Source organism: Homo sapiens, chromosome 19 (genome assembly GCF_000001405.40).
Source record: "Homo sapiens chromosome 19, GRCh38.p14 Primary Assembly".
In the NCBI taxonomy this organism is placed as follows: Eukaryota; Metazoa; Chordata; class Mammalia; order Primates; family Hominidae; genus Homo; species Homo sapiens.
The window spans coordinates 45902825-45917053 of NC_000019.10; the positions used below are offsets into that span (position 1 = coordinate 45902825).

General features: G+C 52.4%; 1 protein-coding gene across 1 annotated transcript, besides 2 other annotated features; it reads right to left on the reverse strand.

Moving 5' to 3' along the window:
• Positions 32-141: an enhancer, noted in NCBI's record as "active region_14830". NCBI's record gives its function as "activates an Ori minimal core promoter by ATAC-STARR-seq in GM12878 lymphoblastoid cells {active_cell/tissue: GM12878}" and the evidence as "EXISTENCE:reporter gene assay evidence [ECO:0000049][PMID:35858748]".
• Positions 402-481: a silencer, noted in NCBI's record as "silent region_10805". NCBI's record gives its function as "represses an Ori minimal core promoter by ATAC-STARR-seq in GM12878 lymphoblastoid cells {active_cell/tissue: GM12878}" and the evidence as "EXISTENCE:reporter gene assay evidence [ECO:0000049][PMID:35858748]".
• Positions 10390-11954, reverse strand: NANOS2 (nanos C2HC-type zinc finger 2). The gene has a single exon (NM_001029861.3). The coding sequence runs from the start codon at positions 11867-11869 to the stop codon at positions 11453-11455; it is 417 nt and encodes a 138-aa protein (NP_001025032.1). The 5' UTR covers positions 11870-11954; the 3' UTR covers positions 10390-11452.
• Between the last annotated feature and the right edge of the window lie 2275 nt (positions 11955-14229).

Here is a 14229-nt window from a genome sequence, read left to right on the forward strand (position 1 = left end):
AGCGCCGCGCGGGTACCCCAGCTTCCTGGGGCCACAACGGCGCACGCGCAAAAACTCCATCGCGCGCATGCGCGTGCCTCGGGTTGTACCCGGTACCGGGTCTCGGCGCAGGCGTTGCGAGCTTGGATGGGAGAGATGCTGGGAGCGCGCCAGTACCCAACCTTTCGGACAGTCTTCCAGCCCACCCTGCCCTCTAACCAAAGGGGAGGGAGACAGCGCTGAAGGGAAGCGCTTTGTCTCCTTGACAACTGTGTGGGTGGGGTGGAGGCGTGAGGAAACCGCTTTGCCTCCTGGCTTGCCCGCCCCTGCGCTGGGCCGCTCCAGAGCTTCCCACCTCGCACCCCTAGAGGCTGGGCGTCCTGGGGATGTCCCGCCCCGGGCGGATGCAGTAACCATAGCGACCCACAAGCCTTCCAGTCACGCCTTGGGGGCCCCTCTGTGCGCACCTTTACCTCGAGGAGCGGGGAAAATAAGAGGGAAGAGCTTCCTGGCTGGTAGGAAGGGAGATCCTGACGCCGGCACGACTTTAAGCAAGTGCATGGAGACAGGAATGAAGCCAGAACGCAGGTGGGGTGAGCCGCATGGCAGGATGATGGAGCTCAGTCCGGCTGAGAAGTGTGTTCGTTAGCATCCTGCAGGAGTCCTCAAGGTCATTCGACAATTGGTGCTTCATTCATCGACTCAATAAATATACATGAGCACTTACACAGTTCCTGGTACAATGAACATAAAAGCTAAAATCCGTAGCCTGGGCCGGGCGCGGTGGAGCTCACGCCTGTAATCCCAGCACTTTGGGAAGCCAAGGCGGGCGGATTACCTGAGGTCAGGGGTTCGAGACAAGCCTGGCCAACACAGTGAAACCCCATCTCTACTGAAAATACAAAAACTAGCTGGGCATGGTGGTGCATGCCTGTAATCCCAGCTACTCGGGAGGCTGAGGCACGAGAATCGCTTAACCCCGGGAGGCAGAGGTTGCAGTGAGCTGAGATTGCACCACTGCACTCCACCTGGACGACAGAGTGAGACTCCGTCTCAAAAAAAAAAAAAAAAAAAATACATGCCTGTAGTCCCAGCTACTTGGGAGGCTGAGGCGGGAGGATCGCTTGAGCCCAGGAGTTGCAGGCTGCAGTGAGCTATGATCAGGCCACTGCTCTCCAGCTTGGGCAACAGAGTAAGACCCTGTCTCAAAAGAAGAGAGAGAGAAAAAAAAGGCCCCTCTGCCTGCTGTGTGGAGGGTGGGTGGGAGGGAGCAAGACTACTGGGTAGAGTCAAAAAAAGTCATGAGCAGGGGTAAGAAAAGGATTAGGAAAGCGAGGGGAGACTAAACTAAGACAGGGACAGTGTCAAGGGGGACACGGAGAGACATTTGAGAGAATATATGGAAAGCATGGTGAGTGTCGCGCTAGCGAGGGAAAGGAAGATGTCTAGGTGAAACCCAAGTCTCTGGCCCAGGTTCTCACTTGGGGGTGTGGGGTCAGGTAAGATGTGGTGAATGTAAGGCTGGGTGCAGTGGCTCACGCCTGTAATCCCAACACTTTGGGAGGCTGAGACAGGTGGATCATCTGAGGTCAGGAGTTCGAGACCAGCCTGGCCAACATGGTGGAACCCTGTCTCTATTAAAAATTCAAAAAAAAAAAAAATAGCTGGGTGTTGTGCCATGTGCCTGTAATCCTAGCTACTCGGGAGGCTGAGGCAGGAGAATCTCTTGAGCCTAGGAGGCACAGATTGCAGGGAACCGAGATCTCACCACTGCACTCCAGCCTGGGCGACAGAGTGAGACTCTGTCTCAAAAAAATTAAAAAAAAGGCCGGGCGCAGTGGCTCATTCCTGTAATCCCAGCACTTTGGGAGGCCGAGGCAGGTGGATCACGAGGTCAGGAGATTGAGACCATCCTGACTAACATGGTGAAACCCCGTCTCTACTAAAAATACAAAAAATTAGCCGGGAGTGGTGGCAGGCGCCTGAAGTCCCAGCTACTCGGGAGGCTGAGGCAGGAGAATGGCATGAACCCGGGAGGCTGAGCTTGCAGTGAGCTGAGACTGCGCCACTGCATTCCAGCCTGGGGGACAGCGTGAGACTCTGCCTCAAAAAAAAATTAAATTAAAAAAATAAGAACAACAACAAAAAAAACACAATCAAAAAAAGATACGTGAGTGTAAAGTGACCAACAGGTTGAACTGTTTCCCCCAAAAAGAGAGGCTGAAGTCCTGATCCCCCAGTGCTTCAGAATGTGACCTTATTTGGAAATAGGGTCCTTGGAGAGGGAATTCGTTGAGAGGTAGCCATACCAGTGTAGGGTGGACCCGTCATTCCTCATTCCCGGTGTCTTTATAAGAAGAGGAGACACACAGGGAAGACAATTCTATGGTGACAGAAGTGGAGACGGGGGTGACGCAGCCACAAGCCCAGGAAGGCCCTGTGCTATCAGAAGCTGGAAGAAGCCAGGAAAGATCACCCGCTGGAGCCTTGTCCGGAGTGAGGCCACGCCCATGCCTTGATTTCGGATTTTCAGCCTGGTGAATCTGGGAGACAATACGTTTCTCTCTCTCTGTTTTTTTTTTTTTTTTGAAATGGAGTCTTGCTCTGTTGCCCAGGCTGGAGTACAGTGGCACGATCTCGGCTCGCTGCAGCCTCTGCCTCCCGGATTCCAGTGATTCTCCTGCCTCAGTCTCCCGGGTAACTGGGATTACAGGCGCATGCCACCATGCCCAGCTAATTTTTGTATTTTTAGTAGAGACGGGGTTTCACAGTGTTGGCCAGGCTGGTCTTGAACTCCTTACCTCAGGTGATCCGCCTGTCTCGGCCTCCCAAAGTGCTAGGATTACAGGTGTGAGCCACCGTGCCTAGCCACGTTTCTCGTTTTAAACCACCCAGTTTGCGGTACCTTGTCATGGCAGCCACAGGAAACAAATGCACTGGGGACCCCGGGAAGGCATTCGGGGAGCTGCATTCAGGGAGCTGCTGCCTCCATGGCAGTCCAGGCAGAGAGTTGAGTCTAAACCTGGCTCTGGGTTCACGAGGCGGTGGGAGGTGGAGAGCCACAGCAGTGGGGTATGGAGCTCCACAGATGTGGGTAGCTGGAAGCTGGATGCAGGAAGTCAGAGGGCAAGACTCCTGGGGTGAGGGTGGGTCAGGGAAGGCTTTCTAGGGCCACATTTTCTTTCTTGTCTTGCCTCTTTTCTTTTCTTGATGGAGTTTTGCTCTTGTCGCCCAGGCTGGAGAGCAATGGTGCGATCTCGGCTCACAGCAACCTCTGCCTCCCTGGTTCAAGCGATTCTCCTGTCTCAGCCTCCTGAGTACCTGGGACTACAGGGGCACGCCACCACACTTGGCTAATTTTTGTTTTTTTTTTAGTAGAGATGGGATTTCACCCGTGTTGGCCAGGCTGGTCTCAAACACCTGACCTCAGATGATCCACCTGCCTTGTCCTCCCAAAGTGCTAGGATTATAGGCATGAGCCACTGTGCCTGGCGAAGGGCCACATTTTCAAAACTGTGAGTTGTGAGTCCTTTTTTTTTTTTTTTTTTGAGACAGAGACTTGCTCTATGACCCAGACTGGAGTGCAGTGGTACAATCATGCAATCATGACTCAAACTTCCAGGCTCACCCTCCCACCTCAGCCTCTAGAGTAGCTGGAACTACAGGCACACACCATCATGCCCGGCTAAGTTTTAAAATTTTTTGTAGAGACAAGATCCCACTGTGTTGCCTAGGCTGGTCCCAAATTCCTGGGCTTGAGCAATCCTCTGTGAGGCCTCAGCCTCCAAGAGTGTTGGGATTACAGGCGTGAGCCACTGAGTCCAGCCAAAACTGTGAATCTTGACCCATTAGTGAGTCCAGGAAAATACTTAGGAAGTTGCAAGGAGAGATATTTAGGAGGAAGAATGGACAGGACTTGGAACCTGATGGGCTGTGAGGGGTGAGGGAAAAAGCCTAGATCTCTGGCCCTGGAGACAGGGTACATTACATGGTAGGGCCGGCCAAGATGGGGACTTGAGGGGTAGCAGATGTGGGGGTAAGATGCTGAAGTGGTTTGGGATGTGGTGGGTATGAAAGGCCTGGGGAGGTTTGGGGAATGAGGAAGAGCATCCAGGAACCCATCAGGTATGTGGAAGAGGGCTGGAGGCAGAGGCGGAGTGGAAGCTAAATTTTTGTTTTGTTTTGTGTTGTTTTAATGCTAAAAGAAATGGATGCAACAAGCATATCAAGTGCTGCCCTAGGGCTGGGCCTGGTTGCTCATGCCTGTAATCCCAGCACTTTGGGAGGCTGAGGTAGGAGGATTGCTTGAGGCCAGGAGTTCAGGCTGCAGCGAGCTATTATCTTGCCACTGCACTCCAGCCTGGACGACAGAGCGAGACTCTGTCTTTTCTTTTCTTCTTTTTTTTTTTTTAATTTAAAAGATAGAGATGAGGTCCTGCTACATCACCCAGGCTGGTTTTGAACTCCTGGGCTCAAGTGATCCTACTGCCTCAGCCTCCCAAAATGCTGGGATTACAGGTGCGAGCCACTGCACTGGCTGATACCCTGTCTTAAAAAAAAAGAAGGGGCCAGGTATGGTGGCTCATGCCTGTAATCCCAGCACTTTGGAAGGCTGAGGCGGGTGGATGATGAGGTCAGGAGTTCGAGACCAGCCTGGCCAACATGGTGAACCCCCGTCTCTACGAAAAATACACAATTAGCCGGGTGTGGTGGTGCACGCCTATAATCCCAGCTACTTGGGAGGTGGAGGCAGGAGAATCGCTTGAACCAGAGCGGAGGTTGCAGTGAGCTGAGATGGTGCCACTGCACTCTAGCCCGGCAACAAGAGCGAAACTCTGTCTCAAAAAAAAAGAAAAAAAAAAGTGCTGGCCGTAGGCACCTGGGATACAGCAGTGAATAAAATACTGAACTCCACTCTCAGAGCTTCCTTTCTAGCTGGGGATGGTGGATGGACAGGAAGTAGCTCACTTCAATCAGGGATAACACGGAGGAACAGAGCCAGTAGGGGGTATGTATGAAGTGATCTGTTGCAAGGAATTGGCTTACAGGATTGTAGGGCCGGCTAAGCAACTTCAAAATCCATACACAGGGCACCATCGGAAAGTGCAGGCTGGAGCTTTGGGCGTGAACTGAAGCCACTGTCTACAGGCGGAATTTCCTCAGGGAAGCTTCGGCTCTGCTCTGAAAACCTTTTGACTGATTGCAGCAGGCCCACTTAGATTATTATTATTATTTATAGAGACGGAGTCTTGCTCTGTCGCCCAGGTTGGAGTTCAGTGGCACGATTTCAGCTCACTGCCAACCTCCGCTGCCCCAGTTCAAGCAATTCTCCTGCCTCAGCCTCCCGAGTAGCTGGGACTACAGGCGCCCACCACCATGCCCAGCTAATTTTTTTGTATTTTTAGTAGAGACGGGGTTTCACCATGTTGGTCAGGCTGGTCTCGAACTCCTGACCTCAGATGATCCGCCTGCCTCGGCCTCCCAAAGTGTTGGGATTACAGGCGTGAGCCACTGCACTGGCCTATTATTATTATTATTACTCGAGACAGAGTCTCACTCTGTCACCCAGGCTGGAGTGCAGTGGTGCGATCTTGGCTCACTGCAACCTCCACCTCCCGGGTTCAGGTGACTCTCCTGCCTCAGCCTTCCGAGTAGCTGGGACTATAGGTGCATGCTACCATGCCTGGCTGATTTTTGTATTTTTAGTAGAGACAGGGTTTCACTATGTTGGCCAGTCTGGTCTTGAACTCCTGACTTCAGGGGATCCACCTGCCTTAGCCTCCGAAAGTGCTGGGATTACAGGTATGAGCCACCGCCCCCTCAGATTATCTAGGATAAATTTCCTTCCTTAAGGTAAACTAATTATAGTCTTTAATCACATCTATGAGATATCTTCACAGCAGCAGCTGGATTCATATTTGACTGAATGACTGGGGACAGCGGTCTAGACAAGCTGACATGTGAAACTGACCATTGCAACCAGAGACATAATAAACAACTCAGCCATGTGGCATGTTAGATGGTGGTAAGTGCTAAGGAGGTAAGAAAAGTAGAGATGGGTTGGAGGGATCAGGAATATGTGGGTGGGAAGGCCTCGGGGAGGTGGCGGCCTTTGAGCAAAGGCTTGCAAGAAGTGGCAGAGTAGGCCATGTGAGTATCTGGTCCAAGAGCTGTCCAAGGAGCCGGAAGGGTGAGTGCAAAGGCCTCGAGGCCAGAATGTTCCAGAAGTGTTCGGGGAACAGCTTAGAGGCCAAAGTGGCTGGAGAAGACTGAGCAAACGGGAGAGGGTGGGAAAAGAGCCAGACTTGGGTGAGAGGCAGATTGTGTGGGGCCTTGTGGGCTGAGATGAGGATTTTGGCTTTTAGTCAGAGTGAGACAGTGACCACAGGAGGGCTCTGAGCAGAGGAGGGAGATGAGCTGGCTTGTGTTTTAATGGGATCACTTTTGTTGGGTTTTGAAAATATACTCTTGGCTGGGCACAGTGGCTCACACCTGTAATCCCAACACTTTGGGAGGCCGAGGCAGGTGGATCACTTGAGGTCAGGAGTTTGAGACCAGCCTGGTCAACATGGCAAAACCCCATCTCTACTAAAAATACAAAAATTAGCCAGGCGTGATAGCGGTCACCCGGAATCCCAGTTACTCGGGAGCCTGAGGCAGGAGACTTGCTTGAACCTGGGAGATGGAGGTTGCAGTGGGCCGAGATCATGCTACTGCATTCCAGCCTGGGAGACTGAGTGAGACTCCATCTCAAAAAAAAAAAAAGAGAGAAAGAAAATAAAATATACTTTTTTTTTTTTTGAGACAGTCTCCCTCTGTTGCTCAGGATGGAGTGCAGTGGCGCCTTCTTGGCTCACTGCAACCTGCGCCTCCCAGGCTCAAAGATTCTTGTGCCTCAGCCTCCCAGGTAGCTGGGATTACAGGTGTGCACCATCATGCCTGGCTAATTTTTGATTTTTAGCAGAGACGGGGTTTCGCCATGTTGACCAGGCTGGTCTTGAACTCCTGGCCTCAACTGATCCACCTGCCTCGGCCTCCCAAAGTGCTGGGATTATAGGAATGAGACACTGTGCCCAGCCTGAAAATATACCCTTAGGGGTTGAGAGTAGAAGCAGGAAGATCATTGAGGAGGTGACTGCAGTACTCTGGGTGAGAGGTGGTGGGGCATTGGAAGGTAGTGTGCTGGAGAAGAGATGGTCAGATTTGGGATGGATGTTGAAGCTAGAGCCAAGAGGATTTCCTAATGAATGTGAGATTTCTGTTTTGGACTGGATAAGGAGGAGGGAAGGAAAGAAGGGAAGGAAGGAAGGAATGTGGGGAGGGAGAAAGGAGAAAGAAAGGAGGGCGGAAGAAGAAGGCAAAAACGACAGATGGAGAGACACGTTAAGAGAGAATCTGGATCGGGCACAGTGGCTCATGTGTGTAATCCCAGCACTTTGTGAGGCCTAGGAGGGAAGATTGTTTGAGGCCAGGAGTTCGAGGCTGCTGTGAGCTATGACCACTCCACTGCATTCCAGCCTGGGTGACAGAGCAAGACTTTTTGCGGGAGGGCAGAGAGAAGGAGAAACTGAATGATAAACCTAAAAGTGATCTCTCAACATTCTTAGTACAAATTAAAAATAAAGACTTTTGTTAATAGTGCGATCTTGGCTGGGTGCAGTGGCTCACTCCTGTAATCCCAGCATTTTGGGAGGCCTAGGCAGGTAGATCATTTGAGGTCAGGAGTTCGAGACCAGCCTGGGCAACATGATGAAACCCCATCTCTACTAAAAATACAAAAATTAGCTGGGCGTGGTGGCGCATGCCTGTAGTCCCAGTTACTTGGTAAGCTGGGCAGGCAGGAGAATTGCTTGAACTCGGGAGGTGGATGTTGCAGTGAGCCGAGATCATGCCACTGCACTCCAGCCTGGGTGACAGACTGAGACTCTGTCCCAAAAAAAAAAAAAAAAAAAAAAGTGCAATCTTTTCCCTTCCTTTGTATAAAATTCTCTAGAATGGGCCAGATACTGGTTAGCATTGGAAATAGGCTCTAATCTATGGTCACCACTCACCAGAACCCCTGGAACCCCACGTGTGCACAAATCCAGTTTCAGAGACCAACACAGTGGTAGGCACTCTTGGCCACTGTGGGAGTGTGAGGTGCAGAGACAAAGCCTTGGCCTTATATACTTCAGAGCACACTGGGGACTCTGTGAGGCTCTAGGTCTATCCTTAGTGGATCTAATTTTCCTGCCCTGGTTCTTTGTGGGTGTAGAACTATTCCCCTACTCTCTCTCCTAAGCCCAAAGTGGTGCTGGAGGGAAGAGGCCGTTCTGAAGCATTTGCTTCTCTGCATGGAGTCTCCCTGCTGTCTTCTCTGATTTCCTCAGGGGTGGGCGAGATGGTGTCTGATGCACACGGGCGCCACGCACAAGTCTCCAGTGGCCCCTGCATGCCCACTCTGCCTCTTTGTATCTTCTCTGAGCCCAGGAGGCTGCCCTGTGTGCTCTCCATCTGCCTGCCTGCCTGGTCTCAGGTTCATGGGAGGTAACTGCAGGAATGGGGCAGATGCAGGAGAATGACCAGCTGTCCTGCACCTGGCCTCGACCTGTCCACAGCAGCAAAGCTCTCTGTACCTCTTCCCATAACTCTCTGCATGCAGCCTTCTCACAGGCTCCAGGCCGGACTTTGACACGCACCTACTTCAGTCCAGACTCCCTGGATGCCTCCCCAGAGCCCCAGTGCATTCCTTTCCTGTAGCTGTCATGACAAGGTACTGCAAACTGAGTGGTTTAAAACAAGGGAAACGGGCCGGGCGCAGTGGCTCACACCTGTAATCCCAACAGGCATGGGAGGATCGCTTGAAGCCAAGTGTTCGAGACCAGCTTGGGCAACAAAGCAAGACTCCAGCATGCCTGACTATTGTTTTGTATTTTTTGTAGAAACGGGTTCTCACTATATTGACCAGATTAGTCTCAAATTCACGGTCTCAAGTGATTCTCCCACCTCCGCCTCTCCGAGTGTTGGGATTACAGGCGTTAGCCACTGCACAGGGCAGGGACCACAATTTTCAACACCTCGCCAATGGGGTCTGGGAGCTCAAAGTTTAAGAATTACCAAAAAGCCGGTCCTGGAAGATCCCGGGGGTTCACAGGGCCAGAGAAACCCATAGACATGACATGAAAAGGGAATGGGGATCAAGGCAAAGGCACAGGAGGAATTTGAGAGCCAGTTCATAGGTGGCGGATGTATCAGGGGCCGGCTGGGAGGGGAACCCAAAGCCCCTTCCTGTCCTGCCTCCGTGTTCCCCGTGTTGGATCTGGCCAATGCAGCTACCTGCTCCTTCACGCAGCCGCTGAGGACAAAGCCAGATGAGAGGATGGAAACAGAGGCCTGACGCAGTGGCTCACGTTGTAATCCCAGCACTTTGGGAAGCCGAGAAGGGCAGATCACCTGAGGTCAGGAGTTCAAGACCAGCCTGGCCAACATGGCGAAGCCCCATCTCCACTAAAAAAATATATATGTATATATATAAAATTAGGCAGGTGTGAGGCACTCTGGAGCCTGAGGCAGGAGAATCGCTTGAACCCGGGAGGCAGAGGTTAGTTACAGTGAGCCGATATCGGGCTACGGCACTCCAGCCTGGGTGACAGAGCGAGACTCCATCACAAACAAACAAACAAACAAAAAAGTCCAGGCGCAGTGGCTCATGCCTGCAATCCCAGCACTTTGAGAGACCGAGGTGGGCGGATCACCTGAGGTCAGGAGTTCGAGTCCAGCCTGGCCAAAATGGTGAAACCCCGTCTCTACTAATAATACAAAAAAAAAAAAAAAATTAGCCGAGCGTGTTGGTGGGCGCCTGTAATCCCAGCTACTTGGGAAGCTGAGGCAGAAGAATCGCTTGAACCTGGGAGGTTCAATGGTGCAGTGAGCCGAGACCGCACCATTGGCACTCCAGCCTGGGCAGCAAGAACGAAACTCCATCTCAAAAAAGAAAAAACAAAAACCAAAAATAAAAATTACCTGGGTGTGGTGGCGTGCACCTGTAGTCCCGCCTACTCGGTCACCCCGTCTCTACTAAAAATACAAAAATGGCCAGGCGTGGTGGTGCATGTCTATAATCCCAGCTACTCCGGAGGCTGAGAGGCAGGAGAATCGCTTGAACCCGAGAGGCAGAGGTTGCAGTGGGCCGAGATCGCGTCATTGCACTCCAGCCTGGGCGACAACAGCAAAACTCCGTCTCAAAAAAAAAAAAAAAAATTAGCCAGGCGTGGTGGGGCGCACCTGTAGTCCCAGCTATTCAAGAGGCTGAGGGAGGATAATCACTTGAATCCGGGCAGTGAGCCAAGATCGCACCACTGCACTCCAGCCTGGGCGACAGAGCAAGACCTTGTCTCACAAACAAACCAAAGACGGAAACAGATACAGCCATTTCAAAGACGACTAGAAAACCTTTTTATTCACCAGAGCTCAATACTCAGGGTCCCGACCCTGTGCCAAAAACTGAACAACTTAAAATCTGACGGGGGCCCTTCTTCTCTTTGCCCCTAAAATAAAAGCTAGGCCATTGCCATTCCCATCCGGGTACTCAAACCCCCTTCTTATCGGCGGTTCCTTGACTTGAACGTTGGAGGTTGAAAAACACAGGAGGAAAAAAAAATGTCCTTTAGTCAACTATCACGATTTGGGGGGTCGGACGGGAGGTGGTCGAGAGATATGCTTCTCGCTGGGGGAAAGGACCCATCGGTGATTTGGGGATGGGGGCAGGTACCGGGTGCAATGGGCTGAACAAGGGGAAGAACAACCAGGGGGCATTGAAAGGTGTCAGCTCACCCCACGGCTCTCCATCCACAGGTGAGCCTGCGAAGACACGGTGCCCTCCAGTGATACGGTGCTCTCCAGAGTCCTACTCCGCTCCTGACGGATGGGTACTGAGGTCAGGGAAGGAATGAACAGGCGTGGTCCACGATGACACCGTGGTTCTGCAGGAGGCTGAAGATGGAGAAGGCTGGTCTTAAGTCGACATCCCATCTTGAAGTTCTTGAGTAGGCACTTCTCAGCCAGCCTTGTTCAGTATCTCCTAAGGGCTGGCTTGGGACAGCACCGTGGAATCCTGGAGGTTCAAAAATCCAAGAACTCCACAAGGAACAGAGAAGTCGAAGGGGCAGGGCTCCAGTCACCAGCAGGCCCCACGAGGACAAAAGATCCATGAACCGGGGCCCAGAGGGCGCTACAGGGCCGTGCAGGAAGGGTTCCCGCGGCACCAAGGACCCTCAGGCCAACGCCCACAGGCCAGAGCTCCGAGGGCTGACAGGTCCAAGGGGGCGGGGCTGGCCTGGCTCCCAGCAGCCTCCACTGTTTCAGGATCCAGCCAGGGTGGAGTTCTGGGGGCCAGAAATTCCAAAGGGCTGGGTGACTGGAAGAGAGAGTTTAGGGACTTGGGTGGGATGGACCAGGAGGGTCAGGGGTGCGGGTGGTGAGCATCTCACGATGCTCAGCGCTTGACCCTGCGTCCGGCCGAGTTGCGCCCGCTGCGGCGGTAGAGGGACTGCTGGCCACCGTTAAGCGGGCAGTACTTGAGCGTATGGGCCTGGTCACCGGTGGCCCCGCACACGGGACACACGTAGTGCCTCAGGATGGGACACACCACCACGCCATCCGGTGTCTTCAGCTGGTGTGAGGAGTAGACGTGGCGGGACTCCCCGTTGTGCTTGCAGAAGTTGCACAGGGTCCCCAGGCCCCCGTTGGCCCCTGGCGCCCCCAGCCCCTGATCCTGCCCCAGCGGAGGCCCGGGACTTGGCTCCTCAATCTCTTGGGTCTCCAGCCTTTGACCCCGACTTGCGATCAGCGCCCACACCACCTGGCTCAGGTTGAAGTAGTCCTTCCACATGTCGAAGGGTGGCAGCTGCATGGCACCAAAGCAGGGGTGGTGGGCCACAGGAGAGGGGCTGGGGCTGGGGGCCCGTGGGCAAGGGCAAGAGCAGCAGGCGTTTCCCAGAGCAGAAGGGAGCTGCATCCCCTTTTATAACGCCCAGAGACTCTTCTAAGTAAAGGTGGAGCTTAGGATTTAAAGGGCTCACTCCCTGCCCATAACCCCCATCTGACTTTAGTTCTTCACAGAGATGTGGAAGGAGGTCATTCCCCTGATCTCTGGTCCCAGCTCTGCTGCCAAGGTGCTCTGTGACCTCTGGGAAGACACTTCCATTCTCTGTGCCTCAGTTTCCCTATCTGTTCAAAGAAAGTCCATGTCTGCAAATATCCCCCACCCCTAGGCTGGAGGGGCTGCACCCTTCATAGACTTCAGAGTTATTCCTAATCATCATAGCAGCCAGGCTGGGCGCAGTGCCTCACACCTGTAATCCTGGCACTTTGGGAGGCTGAGGAAAGAGGATCGCTTGAGCCCAGGACCTCTAGGCCAGCGTGGGCAAAATAGCGAGACCTTGTCTCTACAAAAAATAAAAAGACAAAAATAATAATAACAACATGACCTGATTTATTTTATTTATTTATTTACTTGAGACGGAGTCTTGCTATGTCGCCCAGGCTGGAGTGCAATGGCACGATCTCAGCTCACTGCAACCTCTGCCTCCTGGGTTCAAGTGATTCTCCTGCCTCAGCCTCCTGAGTAGCTGGGATTACAGGCGCCCACCACTAAGCCTGGCTAATTTTTTTTTTTTTTTTTTTTGTATTTTTAGCAGAGACAGGGTTTCACCATATTGGCCAGGCTGGTCTCGAACTCCTGACCTCAGGTGATCCACCTGTCTCTGCCTCCCAAAGCGCTGGGATTACAGGCGTGAGCCACCGCACCCGGCCTAGTATTTTCATTTTACAGAGAAAGATATGAAGCTTGGAGAGGTTAAGGAATGTATCCAAGGTCACACAACAAGGAAATGGCAGAGTCGGGTTTCATAATCACTCTGGGAACTGGGAATTGATGTTAAAAGTGGCAGAGGAACTTGGCACAGAACAATCTCACTTAGAATGCCCCCTCTTGGGCTAGGCATGCTGGCTCACGCCTGTAATCCTAATATTTTGGGAGGCTGAGGCTAGAGAATCACTTGAAGCCAGAAGTTTGAGACCAGCCTGGGTAACATAGTGAGACCCTGTTTCTACATATAATACAAAATCAGCTGGGCATGGTGGCATGTGCCTGTAATCCTAGCTAGTGAGGAGGCTGAGGCAGGAAGATCACTTGAGCCCAGGAGGTTTAGGCTTCAGTGAGCCATGATTGTGCCACTGCAGTCCAGCCTGGGCTACAGAGTGGACCCTGTCTTTTTTTTTATGAGATGGAGTCTTGCTCTGTCACCCAAGCTGTAGTGCAGTGGCACAATCTTGGCTTACTGCAATCTCCGCCTCCCAGGTTCAAGTGATTCTCCTGCCTCAGCCTCACAAGTAGTTGGGATTACAGGTGCCCACCACCACACCTGGCTAATTTTTTGTATTAGTAGAGATGGGATTTTGACATGTTGGACAAGCTGGTCTGGAACTCCTGACCTCAGGTGTGATTCACCTGCCTCGGTCTCCCAAAGTGCTGGGATTACAGGCATAAGCCACTGCGTCTGGCCAACCCTGTCTCTCTAAAAAAAAAAAAAAAATAGCCCTTTCTTGGCCCCATCCATTGTCTTAAATCCTTCCTGGCCTTTGGAACGAGCAAAAGCCTCATCTCCCGCCCACCGCACCTGGGGTTCTTCTTCCACCCACAGTCTCCATGGGCCACCTTGATATTCAACACATAGTTACTGAGGCTCCATATTGGGTGCTGGAAATTCAGCAGTGACCAAGGCTACCTTATGCCTGCTTCATGAACGAGTTCAGGAGAGCGACCAGTAAATGAGAAAACGCTAGACTGTAAAGACCTGCTGGCCTGTGAACCGGGTGTTCTAAGAGTGGCTGGCTCAGGAATGGGACTTGGAAGCTGAGACCACTAAGAAGAATCTTCCAGGAAGAGGAACACAGGATATGGAAACTGTGGCTGGGTGTGGTGGCTCATGCCTGTAATCCCAGCACTTTGAGAGGCCGAGGTGGGTGGGTCACCTGAGGTCAGGAGTTCGAGACCAACCTGGCCAAGATGGTGAAACCACCCCCATCTCTACTAAAAATACAAAAATTAGCAGGATGGGCACAGTGGCTCACGCCTGTAATCCCAGCACTTTGGGAGGCTGAGGTGGGCGGATCATGAGGTCAGGAGGTTGAGACCAGCCTTGGCAACATGGTGAAACCCCGTCTTTCCTAAAAATACAAAAATTAGCTGGCGTGGTGGCGGGTGCCTGT

What these genes read in the sequence shown, in the direction of transcription:
- NANOS2 (NM_001029861.3), bottom strand. Translation starts at nt 11,869, where the DNA reads ATGCAGCTGCCACCCTTCGACATGTGGAAGGACTACTTCAACCTGAGC.